The sequence below is a fragment of the Homo sapiens genome, chromosome 5 (genome assembly GCF_000001405.40).
Source record: "Homo sapiens chromosome 5, GRCh38.p14 Primary Assembly".
Taxonomy (NCBI): domain Eukaryota; kingdom Metazoa; phylum Chordata; class Mammalia; order Primates; family Hominidae; genus Homo; species Homo sapiens.
Window position 1 is genome coordinate 159,502,893 of NC_000005.10, and position 17,674 is coordinate 159,520,566.

Here is a 17,674-nt window from a genome sequence, read left to right on the forward strand (position 1 = left end):
ATGAGAACACATGGACACAGGAAGGGGAACATCACACTCTGCGGACAGTTGTGGGGTGGGGGAAGGGGGGAAGGATAGCTTTAGGAGATATACCTAATGCTAAATGACGAGTTAATGGGTGCAGCACACCAGCATGGCACATGTATACATATGTAACTAACCTGCACATTGTGCACATGTACCCTAAAACTTAAAGTATAATAATAATAAAATTAAAAAAAAAAAAGAAATGTCAGATTCATAAACGAGGGGCTGTGAGAAATGGTGGAGGGGTCGCAGCCATGGTTCTCATGCCCAGCTGCTCAGCTGAATCCCCTGAGGAGCATTCATGAAATAGAGATTCCTGGTACCCACCCGCAAAACTGTTGATGCACTTGATCTAAGATGGAGCCAGAGCTTTCCAGGTGATTCTGATGGGCTTCTAGGCTTGAGAACCACTGGGGCAGAGGAAGAAGGTTTGGGGAGAGATTTAGCAAATTCCTTGTGGTTAGGAACTTTTCCATTCCCTCGTAGGAAGTGGCTAATTCACATTCCAGGTGGTGTACCTTTATCTCAGTATCTCCGTTTGCAGGATGGGGGCAGTGGAGCTTGACAACATTGCAGGCTGCTGTGTGGATAAACAGCTCGTAATGTGCCATTTAAATGGGAAGCATTGGGATGAAGTGTTCCTGGGGCTTGAAGTGACCCCATTTTATTTTCAGTGTGGAGGTGCCCAGGCCACATCTTAAGCAACTTTGAACCATCTGGAACCACTGGACAGCAAATGGTTAATCCTGTAAGGCCAGGGTGTGAGGGATCCGGTCATGCAGCTGGGGGTAACTGGGGAACTCTCATTGTCCCACCCTTTGGTTGAGGAACAGTGTGAGCCGACACATAATTAGAACCACTAACTGGCTTTCAATATGGAGAATGAGATTTGTGGCTCCTGCTCACTAAGGAAATATGAAACGGTAAACACACTTCCAGTTATGGATGGGGCTAAACACACCATTAAACTGAATGCTAATAGCTGCCTCCTTCTCCCTTCGAACATTTCACCGTGGCAACCAGTAGGTGCCCTTTTCTTGCCTTCTCTTTCAGCTTCCCATAATTCTCTTCTGCCGTGGTTCTTTGGATGATAATGGGCACATGCTTGAAATAGTAGTTAGAGAATAAGAATTTAATAACAACAAGAACAAAAAAGCAAATGAGGCTGGAGTAGGTTTCCAGCTCCTCATATTATTTGCTTGTAGGCTGTAGCAATCTCAGGTATTGAGAATAAACCAAAATAGACTGAGATGAACATCTTTAATTGAATGTGAGTGTCTTAAATATACTGCATGCTAAAGGCATTAAGCTTGACTTCTGAAGCTCAGTCACTAAGTTGTGGGAGCACCATTACTCAGGGTTTAACAACAGGAGGCCAGGAGTTTGACATACTTGAGTATAAATCCTTCCCTATTGCCTAATGGCTGTGTGGCCTTGGATGAATAACCTTCTCTCTCTGTACCTAAGCTTTTCCATCTATAAATCATGGCTAATAATAATAAACTTTTCCTCACAGAGCTATTGCTGGGGTGGAGTGGTTAAAGACACATGGGTATAAAGCTTTCAGTATAGTGTCTGGCACAAAGATTCTCAATAATCAATAGCTATTCTGATGATGATGATATGATTAACAACTTGCTGGGCAACGTTAGGCCTGTAACTTCCCTGAGCTTCAAATTTTTCATCTGCAAAAGGCAAGCTAATCACAGTACTTGAGTCATTTGCTTAAGGCTCTAGATAAGAATTAAATGATGAAAAGGACTTGGTACAGGTCTTGGCATATAATAAGAGCTCAAGGAGGACTTGCTGAATGAATGGGAAAAAAATAAATGAATGCTATGTCGGCTGGAGAAACTCAGTCATCAGACCCAAAGTGTTTAATATGAGACACAGAGGAAGAAAAATACAAACAGCCCTGGACTCTTTGTCAGTTACATTTTTTAGCAGCCGAAGACCTTCCGTTGCTTCCTTTCTCCTTGTTGCGTCCGTTCCTCCCGCCCCTTATCAAGACTGTCTGCTGGAAAAGAGAAAGCATAATGCTGACACACACAAATGAAACCCCAGTATCACAAGGGGCTCCTAGCAAGGCCTCAGACAGGAAGGGCCATAAATAACCGAGTGGCCTGTGCAACAGGCTCAGCCTGTAAAGCTGGTCAGTAGGACCTCTTCAGTCCCTGCCCTGGCCCCTCAAGTGGCCAGTGTCCTCACCTTGAGCCCCACACCTCCTTCCCCATCTAGTGCCCCTCCTAGGTCTGTTCCCCAGGGCAGTGACTCATACTCTGAATTGCTTCTCCCTCCTCTGCCAAACTCCAGCTTTCCCTGGGAGAAAACTATCTGGTAAGCCAGTCACTAAAATCATTGCTTAGTCAGCCACTCTCGTGGGGGTAATTGAAATGTCTTTTAAACAGCATTTATGGTTTTAATTTCTAATTATAAAAGTGATACATATTTATTTTAGAAAACTTTGGGGAAAAAATCTAGGGAAAGTATCCAAGCATGTGGAAGAAAATACGAATCCTGAGGCCCAGGTCACAGCCCAGGCCAATTTGATCAGAATTTCTAGGGATGGTATCCTAGAGCAGGATTGTTTTATTAAGTTCCCCAGGTGATTCCATTGCAGAAAAGGTTCTTTACTTAGAGATACCTGCCAATAATACTTTGAAGTATTCTCTTTACCTTTTATATTGATATTCAGATTATACTGTGTATGTTATTCAAAACGCGAATTTTTTTGCCCAGTGATATATTATGAACATCTTCCCATATCATCAAATATTCTTTGAAAACATGATTTTTAAAACGGGCATGTAATGTTCCATCTTATGGATCCACATAATTAGTTTAGCTAACAATCCATTATTAGACATGTTTCTAAATGTTGTCAATTAAAATAATACTGAGATGTATTTCTACTTCTCTCTCTGATCACTTACTTAGCTCACACATAGCATGTAATCGTATGCTGGACATCATTCTAAGGCATTCCATATATTTCATTTAATCCTCACAACCAGCCTATGATATTATCCCCATTTTAGAGATGAGGAAACTGAGGTTCAGAGAGCCTAAATCACATGGCTGGTAAATGGTGGAGCCCATTCATGCTCTGGAATTAAAATTGTGGGGTTCAAAAAAAAATGAACATTTTTAAGGCTTTTGAGGCACACTGCCAAATAACCTACCAGGAAGGTTGTAATGATTCACTTCTTCACCAGCAGCATGGGGAAGACAGTGCAAGGGTCTCTGAATTTGAAAATAATTCTATAAACCAATGGAATCCCTCCATTTAAAAACCCTCCTTATTGCAGGTCTACTATGTATGGAAAGAGTTTTTTGGAGTAGGGTTTTAAAAAATGATATCTAATAGCTGCATAGCATGGCTTTACAGTTTGTAAGTGATGTTCCAAGCATAAGACAGCATATTGCTTTTGTGGAGGGAGGGAAGGGGGACTGCCCAGAATCCTTCAGCTTGTGCCACCCAGTGGCCTGCCCTGTGGGAGAGTTCTAAGACTGTTCCTGAGCACTGGTCCCTCTCTAATTGTCTTTTCTTCCCACCCTTCTTTTGGGGAAAATGCTTCTGGTAAGACAGAGAAAAGAGACAAACATTTCCAAATGCAGTAGTTAATGGAAGAGGTGCTGTGAGAGGAGAGATGGCATTGTTAGAGCAAAATTTGCTGAGCTTTTGATGTTTTACCAAAGAGCCCAAAGCCCCCTTCCATGAAGGAATCTGACTCAACTCTCTTCAGCTCCCAATGGGAGTGAATGGAGCTGCTTTTCTGGGAGCCCTGGAGGGAGGGCAGGGGAGCCCAAAGGGCCAACTGGACAAGGGAATCCCAAGAAAGGAAGGAAAAGCTAGGCAAGAGAGAAAAGATGTCTGGAAGCCCAATGAGAGGCTCGAGGTGGGCTGATGTGTCTCAATGAGAAACATACAAAGCTCTGCGCACCACCCTTTGGCTCCTGTGTGTATCTGTCAAGTGTGATAATTAGCTTGGTCATTATTATTTATCTTTTGGAAGAGGATTGTGCCTCCCCTGCCATTCCCTCTCCCACCACACATACCTACACTGACATCATCAACCTTTCTGAAGGATTTCCTATTTGTAGCAGGAAAGCAAAAAACTTCCCATGACTATGAGTTTCTTGAGGACAGAGCTCCATGCCTTTTTAAAAAAATTATATTCATTCTCAGCGGCTCCAGCAGGTCAAAATTTTAATTTCCATTCACAGGGCAACCTATTGAGGTTTGATTGAGGCTTCAATGGGAGTTATGTTAGTGAACTCTATTTTGGCTGCCAGCTAGAGAAACTCACTTCAAACTTCCTTAAATATAAAAAAGAGTACTATACACCCATAAAAAAGAATGAGATCCCATCATTTCCAACGACAGGGATGGAACTGTAGGTCATTATGTTAAGTGAAACAAGCCAGATACAGAAAGACAAAAAGCACATGTTCTCACTTATCTGTGGCAGCTAGAAATGAAAACAACTGGACTCTTTGATTATGGCCCAATAAAGGAGAAAGTCCAGGATGGGGAGCAGATTTGGCTAGATTCAGAGTTTTGAAGGTTGTTGTTTGTTTTTCTCTCTCTCTCCATCTTTCTTTGGACTGGCCTCATTTTTTCCTACTTATGAATGGGCTTCCTTCACATGTCCAGAGATCCTTTCTTCGGATTTTACGTATGGGTGCTGAGAGAGAGAAATCCCCTTTGCCCAGGTCATTGCTAATCTGTGTTGCTCATGCGTGGGGGGCTGCTTAAGCCTTTCTCTTGCGTGACCCCAGCTTCACAATCTAATGGAGAGAGAAGACTGCTCTTCCAATGCCCATACACCAATCTCAGAGAGACAGACTGGCTGGCTTAGTTTGAGTCACATTAGGTCAACTGACTACTGTTTCCAGTGGCATGAAGTATCACAAGTGGCCAGACCATTTACAGGACAACCCATGTGGTCAGGAATGGCATCTGTTGCCCAAAGAAAAGGGTGAACAAACAGTGTGTCAGGAAAGATACAACTCCCCGAGAACCCTGTAGTGGTTCAGACTCATGTTTTCCCAGTCCAGAGTCTCAGCTGGTCCAGTTAATTTGGATTTTTATTTCTGTCTCTAATAGCATGTCTTTCTTGCACTTTTCTATCTGCAAAATAAGATAAGCACTCATTTTTATTAAAGTCTGATTTTTTAACCTTTCCTCTTGATTCATTGCTTCCCTGTAATTTTAAAACATGCAGATATCATTATATTTACTGCTATTCTTGAATGAGTAGGTCTACTTTAGAAGCCTCGATTTCTCAACCAGTTGCTTGCTGTAAACTGCTTTAAATATCAGGTCTGGACACACTCCTCTGTTGAAGCAGCCTCTTGAGGGCCACTAATGACCCCTGGGTGCTGAACCCATTGTCCTTTCTTGGCTGCATTGTCCTGGCTGCTGCAGCAGTTCGTGATGGGCAATCTTACTTTCCGGCACCATCTCCATTTTGGGAGTAAAAATGTCCTCATAAAGGACCCAGAAAAACTATTTTCCTTCTTGGCACTTCTGCCCTTTTGGGCTGTCTGGTTTTGTTCTCTGTCTATAAATAGAGGAGGGACTCATTGTTCACCCCTCCACCTTTCAGCAGGGCTGCAATTTTGCCTTTGGAACGCAGACCGAACTTGTAGAAAGAGCATGAGCTTTGGAATCAGGCGAACTTGGAATCACATCCCAGCCCCACACTTACTAGTCATAGGATTATCAGTGAGGCCTTTTTGTTTTGTTTTTTTGTTTTTTTTTTGAACACTTCTCTGAGCATGAGTTCCTGCTCCTGTAAATGGAGGGAAACAATAGTGTCTGTCTCATAGGATAGCAACAGAGTTTCATAACAAGGTACTGCACCCAGTAAATGTTCAATGCATGTGAGTTCTCTTCCTCCCTCAAAGATACTTGGTTTGTCCTCTGTCACTGTATTAGTTCTGTGCTGACTCACTCCTTCTGTATATCTTATGAGAATTGCCACTCATTAAATTGTTTAAAGTATATCAATGTCTTCTGTATTCTAATAAAGCTGGCCATTAGCAACAATCCTAAAACTACTCTTTGGTAAAGTCCTTTTCTACCTTTTCTTTTGGAAAACAAGTTTTTCCTTTTATTCCTTCTGGTGTAACAGACGTCTCTCTCTGCCTCCTCCTCTCCATCCTATTCAGCATCTACTCCCTTTCTATGGAAAGGCACCCTCCTTGCTGTGGGGAACTGTTCGTTTGCACCATGTGGTTCTGGTGGGTGAGCTGTGTCATGTGACCAAGGTTTGACCAATCATGGGATCTCACGCATCTTGCGACAGTGATTGGCTTCATGATGGCCACATGACCTAAGTTTGGTTTATTGGTGTTCTTCCCTTGAATTTTACCTCTGAGTGCTAGGAGAGAGAAATCTTTGTTTCCTTGGGAGTTGCAAATCTAGGTTGATGAAGCCTGGAGCTGCCCATGCCACGTCTCCTGCAGTGTGAATAAAGCTCTGCTATGTGAGGAAAGAATGAGTCCAACAGATGGAGAGAAGCAGAGATCTGAGATATGGAATGAGATGGGGTGGGAGAGGAAGGAGAGAGGGAGAGACGATATCATTATTTGAATTCCTGAGGACAGCTCTAGTCCTAGCCTTTGTGGATATGAGCCAGTAAATTCTAATTTTTCTTTATGCCAGATTGGGTTAGGTTTCTGTTCCTTGAATTCGAGGGTCCTGATAAATTCATCAGTTTATTTAAAGTAACTGTTACATTATAAATGAGAGTTGTGTATATGTTGCAACAAAATCCCAACAGTTAGTTTAAGTTGCTAATAAGGAATGGATTCCTATACTGAACTCCTTCTAAGAGCACAGAGGTCTGGGGTTACAGAGCCCCTTCTATGTTTGTATCACTGGAACCTAGCATAGAGCTTGGCACATGGAAGTTCTCAATATGTATTTGGAGAACACAGTAAGGCACGAGAGAGAATCTGATTGGCTCAATGGGTCAGTACCATCCAGCACAGGAGAGTCCTACTGGCTGGACCACGGTTCCCACATGGGCCAACATCTTGGCTACCTATGGGTTAGGAACCTCACCCACGGTCTGGCCAGCTGTGAGTAGAGAATAATAACTTCTGGTGTAGAAAATCACCTCTTTTTCTCATGGTGTAGAAAATAACCCCTTTTGTTAAATATTTATTTAAATTTGACTATGGGTATGGCAGGTACTCTGAGTCTCACAAAGGGAACAGAATAGCAGACAAGTGCTTCACTTGGCTTGTTCAGGCCGTGTGAGTCCTCCCATTAAATCCCTCAGTGAGGGGTCTGAAGAGCGACCGGGGAAGTTCCAGAAAATGCTGGTCTGCTTCCTGCCGAGGGTCTGCCCTTGAGCTTCTCTTCCAGAGGAGAACCGTGACTCTGACCAAGGGGGCAGTTCTGGGAAACTGTGGGAGCCTGCAGCAAATGACAGAAAAGGGGCTGACTCCAGAGTGACCCTGCCAGGCCTTCTGGTGAGAAACACGCCCCTTGCTATGGTGAGGCCGGCCACAGCCTGACACTGCCTCTGCTGGGGATGAGAGCATGGGGAAGCAACAGCATTCCAGTGTCAGCCTGGCTCTGGCTGTGCCCCAGGCCCTGTTCCCACTGTAAGCTGACACTGGCTGGGAGGGGCCTCTCATCTCCTCTTTGAGGGCTCCAGGGCAGAGTCTGTTCTCAGATTTGAGCAGCAGCCTGTGGATGCTGCAGAGAGTGTGAAGAAAGCAAACCAACCTCTGTGGGCCCAGTGAGTCGGGTAGGGCCCTCTGATTTGTGTCTGAGAGGTTGGCGTTTGCAGTAGATTTTAGTCTTGACCTTGTCGACTTGGCAACAGGGTTAAATGGGAGACAGTGAACTGTATCTGGAGGGTCTGGATTGGGGCCTGAAGGCCTAGGGGTTAGCCCAGTTCTCTCTGTAAGCTGTTTTGGGGCCAGGGGCCAGCCTTTGGTACCTGGGCCTCAGGCTCCTCAGTGGTAAATTGAGGAGGTTTGTCGGGCCATGTGCACTTGGAGGTTCCTTCCAACCTGAGTAATCCCCACTCACCATCAAGTAATGGCTCTAAATTCATTTGCTCTGTGGAGATAACCAATATGGAAAAGATTGGCCTCAAATTTAACTTTTTTTTATAGGCAGTAAAGGATAGATGAGAAGTAACATTATTCCAAATAGAATGACAGGAATAATAATTATTACAGTAATAACAATAACAAAACAATGCTTTCAAAATAGTCACTGTAGGCCAGGTACTCTAATCAAGATTTTACATACCTTACCTTATTTATTCCTTTCCAACACTCCCCTGGGTGGATATCATGGTACTTGTTTAGGAGACGAAACTATTGAGGTGCAGAGAGGCTCAGTTACTTGCCCAACAGCTCATTGTTCAAAGGTAGCAGTGCTGGGATTTGAACCCAGGGTCCACTTGATTCTAAAGCCTACATTCTCACCTCCTCCGTTATCAGGTAGGTGAGAGGTGCCTTCTACTTTCTGCTGTGAAAGTGCAGATACAGAGGAGCAGCAGCTGTCCACTTGCTTCTCCAGTGTTCATATGTCATAAATCCCTCAGGGATGTAGCCTTAGACTTATTGTTCCTACCCCATTACTGGCCATTCCCTACCATCCCCACCAAACCCATGCTCCTTCTCCACTCACCACTTCTCCACAGGTCACAGTGGTCTGTGCCTCAGAGCCTTCATAGGTGCTGGTCCTTGTTCTTGAAACCCTAGTCATCTCTCTTACTTCTGGAACATTCCTACTCGGCAAGGTTCAGATGCCGTCTCCCTTTTAAAAGATGCTCTGATTTTCAAATAGCCACAGCCCACTTTTGCTTCTGTCATAGTCTGTATCATGTTCTGTAATTATTTGTTTTAGTCAACTCTCATTCAATAAATATTTGCTGAGTGACTCTTTGTGCTTGGCACTGTGTTAGGTGCTGGGGAATTTTCTCCTGTCCACTTTTCCTGTCCTCTAGACACCCATCACACAATCAAACTCATAGTTTTTTTTTTTTTTTTTTTAACAGAGATGTGCCTTATTTCCCCCGAATCCCAGGTAACTGACAAAGCCTAATACATAGAAAATGCTCAATAGCCACTTGATGAGTGGATCCATGACCCAGTACTTATCTTACCTTTGAATAATTGCCTCTTTCTTTCCATCCTCTACTAGATTCTTAGACTCTTGTGGACAGGGGTTGGGACTTATTTTGCTTTTGTCCCTGTTGCTTAGCACAGAGAAGTAATTTAATATGGTTTGTTGAATGAACGATTATGAGAAGTGTGAGTTCTGGGAGTGGATATGCTAATTCTACAAGCATATGCTAATTTGGGGAGTGGATATGTTCTGGGTTCTGGGAGTGGATATGGTAATTCTACAAGCTAATTCTACAAGCATGTGACCCACTGTGTATCTAGTGCCAATCATTGCTTGGGTGGGCACCATGAAAAGCAAATACCATGCAGATCTCACACCCTCAGGATCCTGAGTGCATGGTGACCGGGCGTATACACACAAAGTTGCAAGAGAAAGATTCAGCAGGGGAAGAGCCCAGGTGCCAACCAGACAGTCACCTTGTCCAGAATCTCTGCTGGTCCCTGGCCCTGTCCTCAGCCGCCTGTGGCTCTAATTTCGATGAATGACTTCCTTCCCTTAGAGGGCTCCTTGCCTCTGGAGAGAAATGAACATCACCTGTGAAAGAGGCTTGCAGAGATTATTGTTCCATCTAATTGAATGTGAATTAAAGTAGAAAGAAAGATTGGCATTCTTACTGTGCCCAGAATCATTGAACTTATGACTGAAAGATGCCACAACTGATCATTTGGCCTTGTTCTCATCTTCTGTCTGCAGAAATACATTGTAGTGGGCCAGCCTCAGAATTCTCTTTTGGGAGAAGACTGCCTTGAAATCCTGAGGGCAAAGTTGGTAGGAGACAAAGTGATAAAGAGAGAAATAATTTTTTTTTTTTTGCATAACATAGGTAGCTTGGATGAGGGGGTTTCAAGAAAGAGAAGAAATAGAGGCAGAGAGGATCTGGCAGAGAGAAACTAGAATTTGAAGTTTGCATTGGTTAAACCTTTTAAGAACAGGGTTGTCTAACTTTTTATTGTACTTTTTTTTGTGTGTGAGTTCTATAAACCTTTTTCTCTCTTTATCAAAGACTGCTACACACACACACACACACACACACACACACCACCTTGTATAAGTGGGCTTTATTTGGGAGGGGGTAGAACAGAGAGAAGTTGAAGAAAGTTGCTGAGTTTTTTTTTTTTTATTGGTAAAGACAGCCCACAGAGGATGGTGAGACCATCGGTAAACTAAAATAACTCACTGGAAACAAGTGAAATAAGGCAAGAGATAATACGAATTCTCCAGAAGGGTGAGGGTCGTTCATCGTGTGTAGGTTGGGGTCTAAAACCATATTTTTATTTGACTCTCAAAGAACAAAGGCACTCACCAGACTTCTTTAGTAGTAAATAACAGAAATCGATAGGCTAAAAAGCCAACAAAGGGTTCCATTGGGAGGATTCTGGGTGGCACGTAGAACTGAAGGGGAAGTTGAACAGTCAGGTCCCAATAAGCAGGAACAAGTAGACCCCACTTCAGGGCAACCCCATGGGGGTGAATTGGCCCAGGGGTTTACCATGATAAGGAGGCTTCCACCAAGTTCAAACCTTAGGAAGAGAAGTTCGATGGCCTGAGTCTGGGTCACATCCCCACCCTCCTTGTCTGGGGTAGCATGGAGTAAGGGTGTCGAAATTGACCGGCCATCTTCTCGGGACCACATAGGAGAATAAAAGATTTGACCAAGGAAGGAAAGGGGGTACTTTTGCCAAAAAACTTGGAGGAAGGGATGCCAGGCAAGCAGAATTAGCAGATGCCCATGCTCACAGGGTACCTCAGCTGTGAGATGTTGCTGCTGACACACAAGAGTGGAGCAGGTGAAATGACTCCCCACCTCTACAATTAATTTCACAATAGGTCTACAGTTAGAACTGAGCAGTGCTGTGGTGTGTCGCTAACAGACGAAGGAGGAAGGAGAAGGGCTGAGGGACCAATCCTTTATCTTCCAGTGCTAGGCCCTTTCCCAAACACCAAGCTACTGCCCTGGCGCCCCTATACCTCCAAGCCTTTGCTTGAGCTCCCTCTACCTGGAGTTCCCTCTTCTTTCTTCGTTACCTATTGATTTTGTTCTTTAGAACTAGAGAGTATCACCTGGAAGAAATCGTTTCTAATCTTGCCCTTCTCCGTGGGTTAGGAGTCTATCCTCTATGTAGACCCGTATTTTATTTCATCATTAAAAGATGTATTGTTTGTAAAAATAGTTAACATAAACACACGGTAAAAAGTTCAAGCACACAAACTGATATAAATGGAAAAGTTGGGCGTTCCTTTGCCTCTGACCCCAGTTTCCCTCTCAGAGGCCACCACTGTTTCCTGTGTCTCCTTCCAGAACACACACGCACACACACACACACGCACACACACCTCTGCACACACCCCCACTGTAAATGGCCTACCTCCCCAGACTCCGAACCCTCCGAAGGCGGGGTCTCCTTGTTTGCCTCCAGGGCCCTAACGACTAGGGCAGCCTGATTCCCTGCACAAATTCAGCAACAGACTGCTGAAAGCCATGCTCTTGCACAAGGAAAAGTGGGAGGGAAGGGGATGGATTCTGTCTGAGATCACTGGGTGCCACGCTCTATGATCTACGAGTTGCTTTTAATTTCCTGTGCTCGGCCGCCGGCAGCCTGATGAAATGAAGCAGATAGCAGGGCTTCAGATCTAGCCCTTCCTGGGCTAGGGCTTGTCTGCTTGCTGCAAGGTTATAATCTCCAGACTCTGAAGAGAGAAGAGCTACGTGCACTGTACCCCCACAACCACCCCCCACCCCACCCTGTTGCTGCAGCCTCCTGAGCCAGGGAATAGGCAGAAATGAAGCTGCTTGATGTTGCCTATGGTTCCTAGGGCAGTGGTTCTGAGTTGGCCATTTAGGCTTTGAGGCCAGACAGAGATGGTTTGGATCCTGGTTCTGTTGCCTCTTTGCTGTATGCCTTTAAGGCAAGTTGCCCTAACTCTCTGAGGCTCAGTTTTCTCAACTGTAAATGACGGCTATAAGTACAATCTACTTCATCCAGTTCTTACGAAGATTCAAAGAGAATGAATTCAGTGTCTGAGCTGAGGTGCCTGGGACCTAACTCCTGCTGAGTTGGTGGCAGGCGCCCTGGTTGTCTGTATCTGCCATGTAGTCACCAGGATCAGCTCTCAGCAAAATGGCCCAGTTGGTGGCTTTCGTCTTCTATCTGCTTTCCTTTTAGTACTCCTTTTCCCTTCCAGGTACTGACTGGTCTTACTTCTCCTCATCTCTTTTGGTGTGGACAACAATAACTCCTCTCCTGCTGCTGCTACTATGACTCCCACCACCACGCCTTCCATCGCTTCCATGTTGACTGTGCCAGGCATTGTGCCCTTAATGTGGGCTGCATCAGCTAATCTTTACAGTCACCATTATTTCCACTTCACAGCTGAGAAAACAGAGTCACAGAGAGTCGAGGGGTTTTCCCCAGATTTATAGAGTGAATAATTAAAATGAGCAGCCTGATGGTCATTTACACTATGTGATAGAGACTTAATGGATTATCTCTATCACAAAGTTTGCATTTTCAAAATGCTCTTCAAAAAGAGGTCAGAGCCTAGTCCAAAGGAGTTAATTGATAATAGCAAGTAAATCTTTCTCAACAGGCTTAGGAAAGAGAGGATTTTGTTGAGGGACATGGAATACCTTCATACTACCCTTAAAAAATGAAACCAAGGCCACTGCTTGCTGCATCTGAAATTTAGATCAGTCTTGAATGTGTCTATGAGAGAACAGTACAAATTTCCTTGCTGCATTTCACGAAACAGGTAGCAGAGTGGAAATTCCTGGGAATTATACTTCTTGATGCATGAGATTGTTTAACAAACACGAACTCTCCCCCAGACTTTCGATTTAAAGAAAATCAAAGACCTTCCCTCAACTCAATGAAGTGTTAATAACACCACGGAGTCCTGAGCCTTCGTCCTGAGCAGCTGCAGGGCTTCCCGCCGCCTGCAGGTGTCGCTGGTGGCTACTGACCCATCTGCTGCTTGGCAGGTGATGGGAACAGGAAGAAGGTATGAGTCAACTCAGTTTTTTTTTTTTTTTTTTTTTTTTTTTAGAGACAGGGTCTTACTTTGTTGCCCAGGCTGAAGTGCAATGGTGCAATCATAGCTCACCACAACCTCGAACTCCTGGGCCCCAGCAATCCTTCTGTGTCAGCCTCCTGAGTAGCTGGGACTACAGGTCCCATGCTCAGCTAATTAAAAACATTTAGTAGAGATGAGGTCTCACTATGTTGCGTAGGCTGTTCTCAAACTCCTGGGTTCAAGCAATCCCCCTGCTTCGACCTCCCAAAGTGCTGGGATTATAGGCATGAGTCACTCCACTCGGCTAGGTCCCCCATTATGACACATTCTTTAGCTCTAGGGACTCTTCAGGGATAATCAACTCTGTTCTTTTTGCAGAGAGGGTGCCCAGGAATGGGAAGTGACCAGGTTTAGGTTCCCCATCCATAGTCAGTGGCCTGGCTTGCCCAGAATTTAGTGAAGAAATGTCTTTGGTGGAAATAATCGGAGTGTTGGATGTTTTTACAGCTTATGCTACTGTTAATCAGGGACGTTGACCTTCCTTCCCCTCCCGTTCCCTCTCTCTATCTCTTCTTTTTCTCTCCTCTTTATCTCTTCCCCCATCCCCTTCCCATTTGGTCTTCACAGCAACCAGGTGAGTCTCCAACACTTTAACAATGAGTAGCAGAGGCTTGGAGAAGGACATAATACGCCTGAATCACCTGAAAGTGGTTGACAGAGGAGAGACTAAGGCCCACCAAACATGTCCCTCTTGGATGCTCCACTGCCTTAGTGGGGCTGTCTTGGCTCAGTTACTGATTTGCTAAGTCCTGGAGCAAGTTAAATTACTTTGTTTCTCTGTGCCTCTGCTTCCTTGTCTGTAAACAAGACAGTAACTATAGCTACCTCACAGGGTGGTCATTAAAGTATATAAAGTGTTTATCAGAGTACCTGGTACTTAGCAAGTACTTAAAAAAGGTCTTTGTCCTGACAACACTAACATTGTCATTATGTAGATTGTGTGCCCTCTAACTAACGTTATATGTTGGACTTGAACTTGTTTTGTGCTTTGCAGTGTAAAATATTTGTTTTGCAATGCGAATTTAAAAGCAATCAATTTTTCACTTGTTGAAGATGTTAATACCTAGTGCTGGTGTGTGTGTGGTAATGTGGGAGATAGGCACTTTCATTGGGGCTGCTGCATTCAAACAGTGCCAGCCAAGGGCACCATCACTTCCCCTAGTATTGTATAAAAAGGTGGGCCTGGCCCTCATGCCCCATTCACGGGTAGAACTCGGTGTCAGCTTTGGGAAGCTGACCAAAGTGCCAACTTTGGTGTTGTGCATTAGATGCTCTCGAATGTTCAACTTGAGACAAAGCAGGATAAACAAAGCCCCAGTGTCTAAAGATGACAAAAAGTCACCTGAAGGGATTTGGACAAAGCAGTAAGCATTCTTCAGGGAGTGACAGTAAAACCAGGGAAGGAAACTGAAGATGCCTCATGCTGGTGTGGTCCAGTGGAGAGGGACAGGTTCAGACTATTGCTAGTCGAATATTAAATAGAAGAGTGACCGCTGAAGAAAGGAAACCTTAAAAGCAACCTGCCAATCCTATGTAGATGACTCACAGACCTCCCAGACTTACCTACCCTCTCGATTCCATCCATCCTATTAAGCTTATTGCTCCCCACTCATCTACTGAACCCATTTCATTCGTTCCATGAGGATGATAAGCACATCTTCCTCACAGAGCCGCTATGTGCAACCATACAGAGACCTTTCCTCAAAGGTTAGCACATACTCAAAAAAAGGCAGCTCTTCTTTTTGGGCCTTCTCAGACCAGATTCCTTTGATATTCCTTTGATACAGACTAGGAGACAAGAGGACTGTCTTCATTTGCTCATTAGTCAGCTGTCCTCATTAGCTCTGTAGTCCTGGATAAGGCCCTTAGGACCTTTGAGCCTCCGTTTTGCCATCCATGTGTGAAATGTGAATAATAATGGTACCTGCCTCACAAGGTTGTTCTGAGTATTAATTGGGATAGTGCATAAAGCACTTGGCATGATGTCTGTCTCAGAAGTGGTCTGGAAGTCCCCTTTATAATTGTTACATAACAATGTTATAATTATTACATAATTGCCTCTCTGAGAGTCGGCTGACTTCCACTAATCTACATCCCTGGTGTTACCCACTGGTTTGATTTCCACAGTTTGCCCACCTCTGAGATGAGGAATAGATTCCAATACCCTCCATCTAGCAAGAAAAATGATGATGGGCACACTGGGAGCATTTCCTTTTGCACTTGCCTTGTCCTGTTGCTGTTTTAGAGCTATGTGCTGCGTGCCATTTGCAGGTAAGGCCATTGCCACAGCAAGATTGGGACATCAGGCACAGGGTGCCTGGCTCTAGGTTCTCCACCTCATTGTTGACTTTGGCAAGGGAATTTTAGAGGAGGGCTGCCATGGTCGCATTCTTCAGCACAGCAAAGAGAAGAGAAAACAGTGCGACTCTTGCCAATTTCCTTGAGCTCCAAGGGAAAGAAACAGAAACAAGTAACATGAGTAAGAACACTAAAATGAGTTTGGAAGTGTGTTGGAATGAGCTGAAAGCCTTTGGGGCATGCTTCAGGAACAATAAGCTGTTCCTGTTTGGCTGCCCAGGATTTTTTATTAGGCTGAGAGTAGCAAGTTAGGGAAGGGAGGTGGAATCTCGCTGGTGGAGGTGATAGGGCACCTGCGGGGAGGGGATAGATGGTGGGAAGACTAGAAAGAAAAGGTGGTGATGTCTACGGTAGACTCCAAAAGTTTTCTTGTGTAATGGGAAATGTACCTGTCTCTCCACTTTCCAATTCAACTTTCAATAATGTCTGCATTAATCTCTAATGCTTTGGGAATTGGGTTTTTTGGAGGGATGTGGCAGAGTGCTGCATATAAACTCAAGGTTGGCATGAAGCATGAGCAGAGGCGGCCAATGGGGACCTGCACTTATTCATCACCACTGTATAAAAACGCACTGACCTGCTTACTTTTACAGACCTCACCTTCCACCTGACATAAAAGCCTGTTGTATGGGGAACACTCAAATTACTGTATTCGTGTAAATTCATAAGAAACACTGGTTGGCATAAACCTCTTCTCCCCCCACCCTTACCCCCTGGCAAGAGAAGCCAATATTGTATAACTAAAGACAAATGGAGGGGAGATTTTATGGGATCTTTCCAAACGGGGAGGAGGAGACAGAAAATGTTCCTTAAGGTTAGAGAAGCAGAAGAAACTGTTGATACCTCAAGACGGGTGTTCTTTTTATCCACTGCTGCTTTAAAAAATGCCCTGGCTTAAAACAACAACATTTATTTTACTCACGAATTGGCAGTTTGGCCAGGATGCTGCAGGAACAGCATGTCTGTCTCTCCGCTCAGCTGGGACGGCTGGAAGGCCAGGGCTGGACTCCTCTCATGGTTTGCTCACTCACATACCTGGCAATTAATGCTGGCTGTCAGATCTGGGGCCCTAGCTGGGGATGCCAGCCAGAACACCCACACCTCTCTGTGGGGCCTGGGCTTCCTCCTCACCATGTGGCGGCCAGGTTCCAAGGGTGGGCGTCTTGGGAGAGAACTAGGCAGAAGCTCCATCACCCTTTCTGACTTAGCCTGAGAAGCCAGGCGGCATCATTTTGGCTGCATTCTATTCTATAGAGTGAGTCCCCAAGGGCATTAGTTTGCTGGGCTGCCATAACAAAGCACCGCAGAGTAGGCGGCTTGGACAACAGAAATTTGTTTTCTGTTCTGAAGGCCAGAAGTCTGAGATCAAGGTGTCGGAAGGGTTGTTTTTTTTTTTTCTGAGGCTGCTCTCCTTGACTTCTGGATGGTCATCTTCTCCCTGTGTCTTCATGTGGGCTTCCTTCTAAGTGTGTGTCTGTGTCCTAATCTCCTCTTCTTACATGAGGAGAGCAGTTAAATTGGATTAGGGCCCCACCCTACCACCCTATTGGTCTTATTTTAACTTGATTACCTCTTGAAAGGCCCTATCTCCAAATACAGTCACATTCTGAAGGTACTGGAGGTTTCAATATATGAATCTGAGAGGAGGGGAAGGACACAGTTTAGCCCATGACACCAAGGATCGGCCATACTCAAAGGGAGAGGAATTAGGCTTCACCTCTTAATGAGAGGAAGGTCTGAGGGTTTGCAGACATGTTTTAAAACCACCACAACTGAGGAAACGGCCAGGTTTGAGCAAGTTCTCTAGTTGTCAGGGCCCCACACTCCATCCATACTCAGCACCCTCAGAAAGTTGCGGGATCTCAGAGCACAGTTGGAACGTAGCTTTCAGGAAACACCCAGCAGCACACAGGAGTGAGCAGCACATTTCAAAGGGCCATGGGTTTCAACCATTGGCGTGTCAGCAGTGAGCTCGCTCAGGATGACTCTTCTTCTGTTACCTCATCTCCAAATAAGATCCTGGATTCTGGTATGAATTCAGGGGCTAGAAGG

The 17,674-nt window shown here is 44.8% G+C and overlaps 3 long non-coding RNA genes across 3 annotated transcripts in view, besides 2 other annotated features; 1 reads left to right on the top strand and 2 right to left on the bottom strand.

The window, feature by feature from the left end:
• Positions 1-1,873: 1,873 nt before the first annotated feature.
• Positions 1,874-8,966, bottom strand: LOC124901123 (uncharacterized). Its single transcript, XR_007059022.1, has 2 exons — positions 8,693-8,966; positions 1,874-2,044 (listed from the first exon to the last, which is right to left on the bottom strand). It is a non-coding gene; the product is annotated as an uncharacterized LOC124901123 (long non-coding RNA).
• Positions 7,034-7,534: an enhancer, noted in NCBI's record as "H3K4me1 hESC enhancer chr5:158936934-158937434 (GRCh37/hg19 assembly coordinates)". NCBI's record gives its function as "activates a minimal SCP1, AML or CMV promoter by ChIP-STARR-seq in naive H9 embryonic stem cells {active_cell/tissue: H9 hESC(naive)}" and the evidence as "EXISTENCE:reporter gene assay evidence [ECO:0000049][PMID:30033119]".
• A 593-nt stretch (positions 8,967-9,559) lies between the features above and the next one.
• On the bottom strand, positions 9,560-17,421 carry LOC105377685 (uncharacterized). Its single transcript, XR_941142.3, has 4 exons — positions 17,340-17,421; positions 16,545-16,657; positions 9,808-9,946; positions 9,560-9,706 (listed from the first exon to the last, which is right to left on the bottom strand). It is a non-coding gene; the product is annotated as an uncharacterized LOC105377685 (long non-coding RNA).
• LOC105377684 (uncharacterized) overlaps positions 12,685-17,674 on the top strand; it is a 114,041-nt gene continuing 109,051 nt past the window's right edge. The window contains exons 1-2 of the long non-coding RNA XR_941139.3: positions 12,685-13,192; positions 15,392-15,535. This is a non-coding gene — a long non-coding RNA (uncharacterized LOC105377684). The remainder of the gene's footprint in view (positions 13,193-15,391; positions 15,536-17,674) is intronic.
• Positions 13,018-13,067: an enhancer, noted in NCBI's record as "active region_23550". NCBI's record gives its function as "activates an Ori minimal core promoter by ATAC-STARR-seq in GM12878 lymphoblastoid cells {active_cell/tissue: GM12878}" and the evidence as "EXISTENCE:reporter gene assay evidence [ECO:0000049][PMID:35858748]".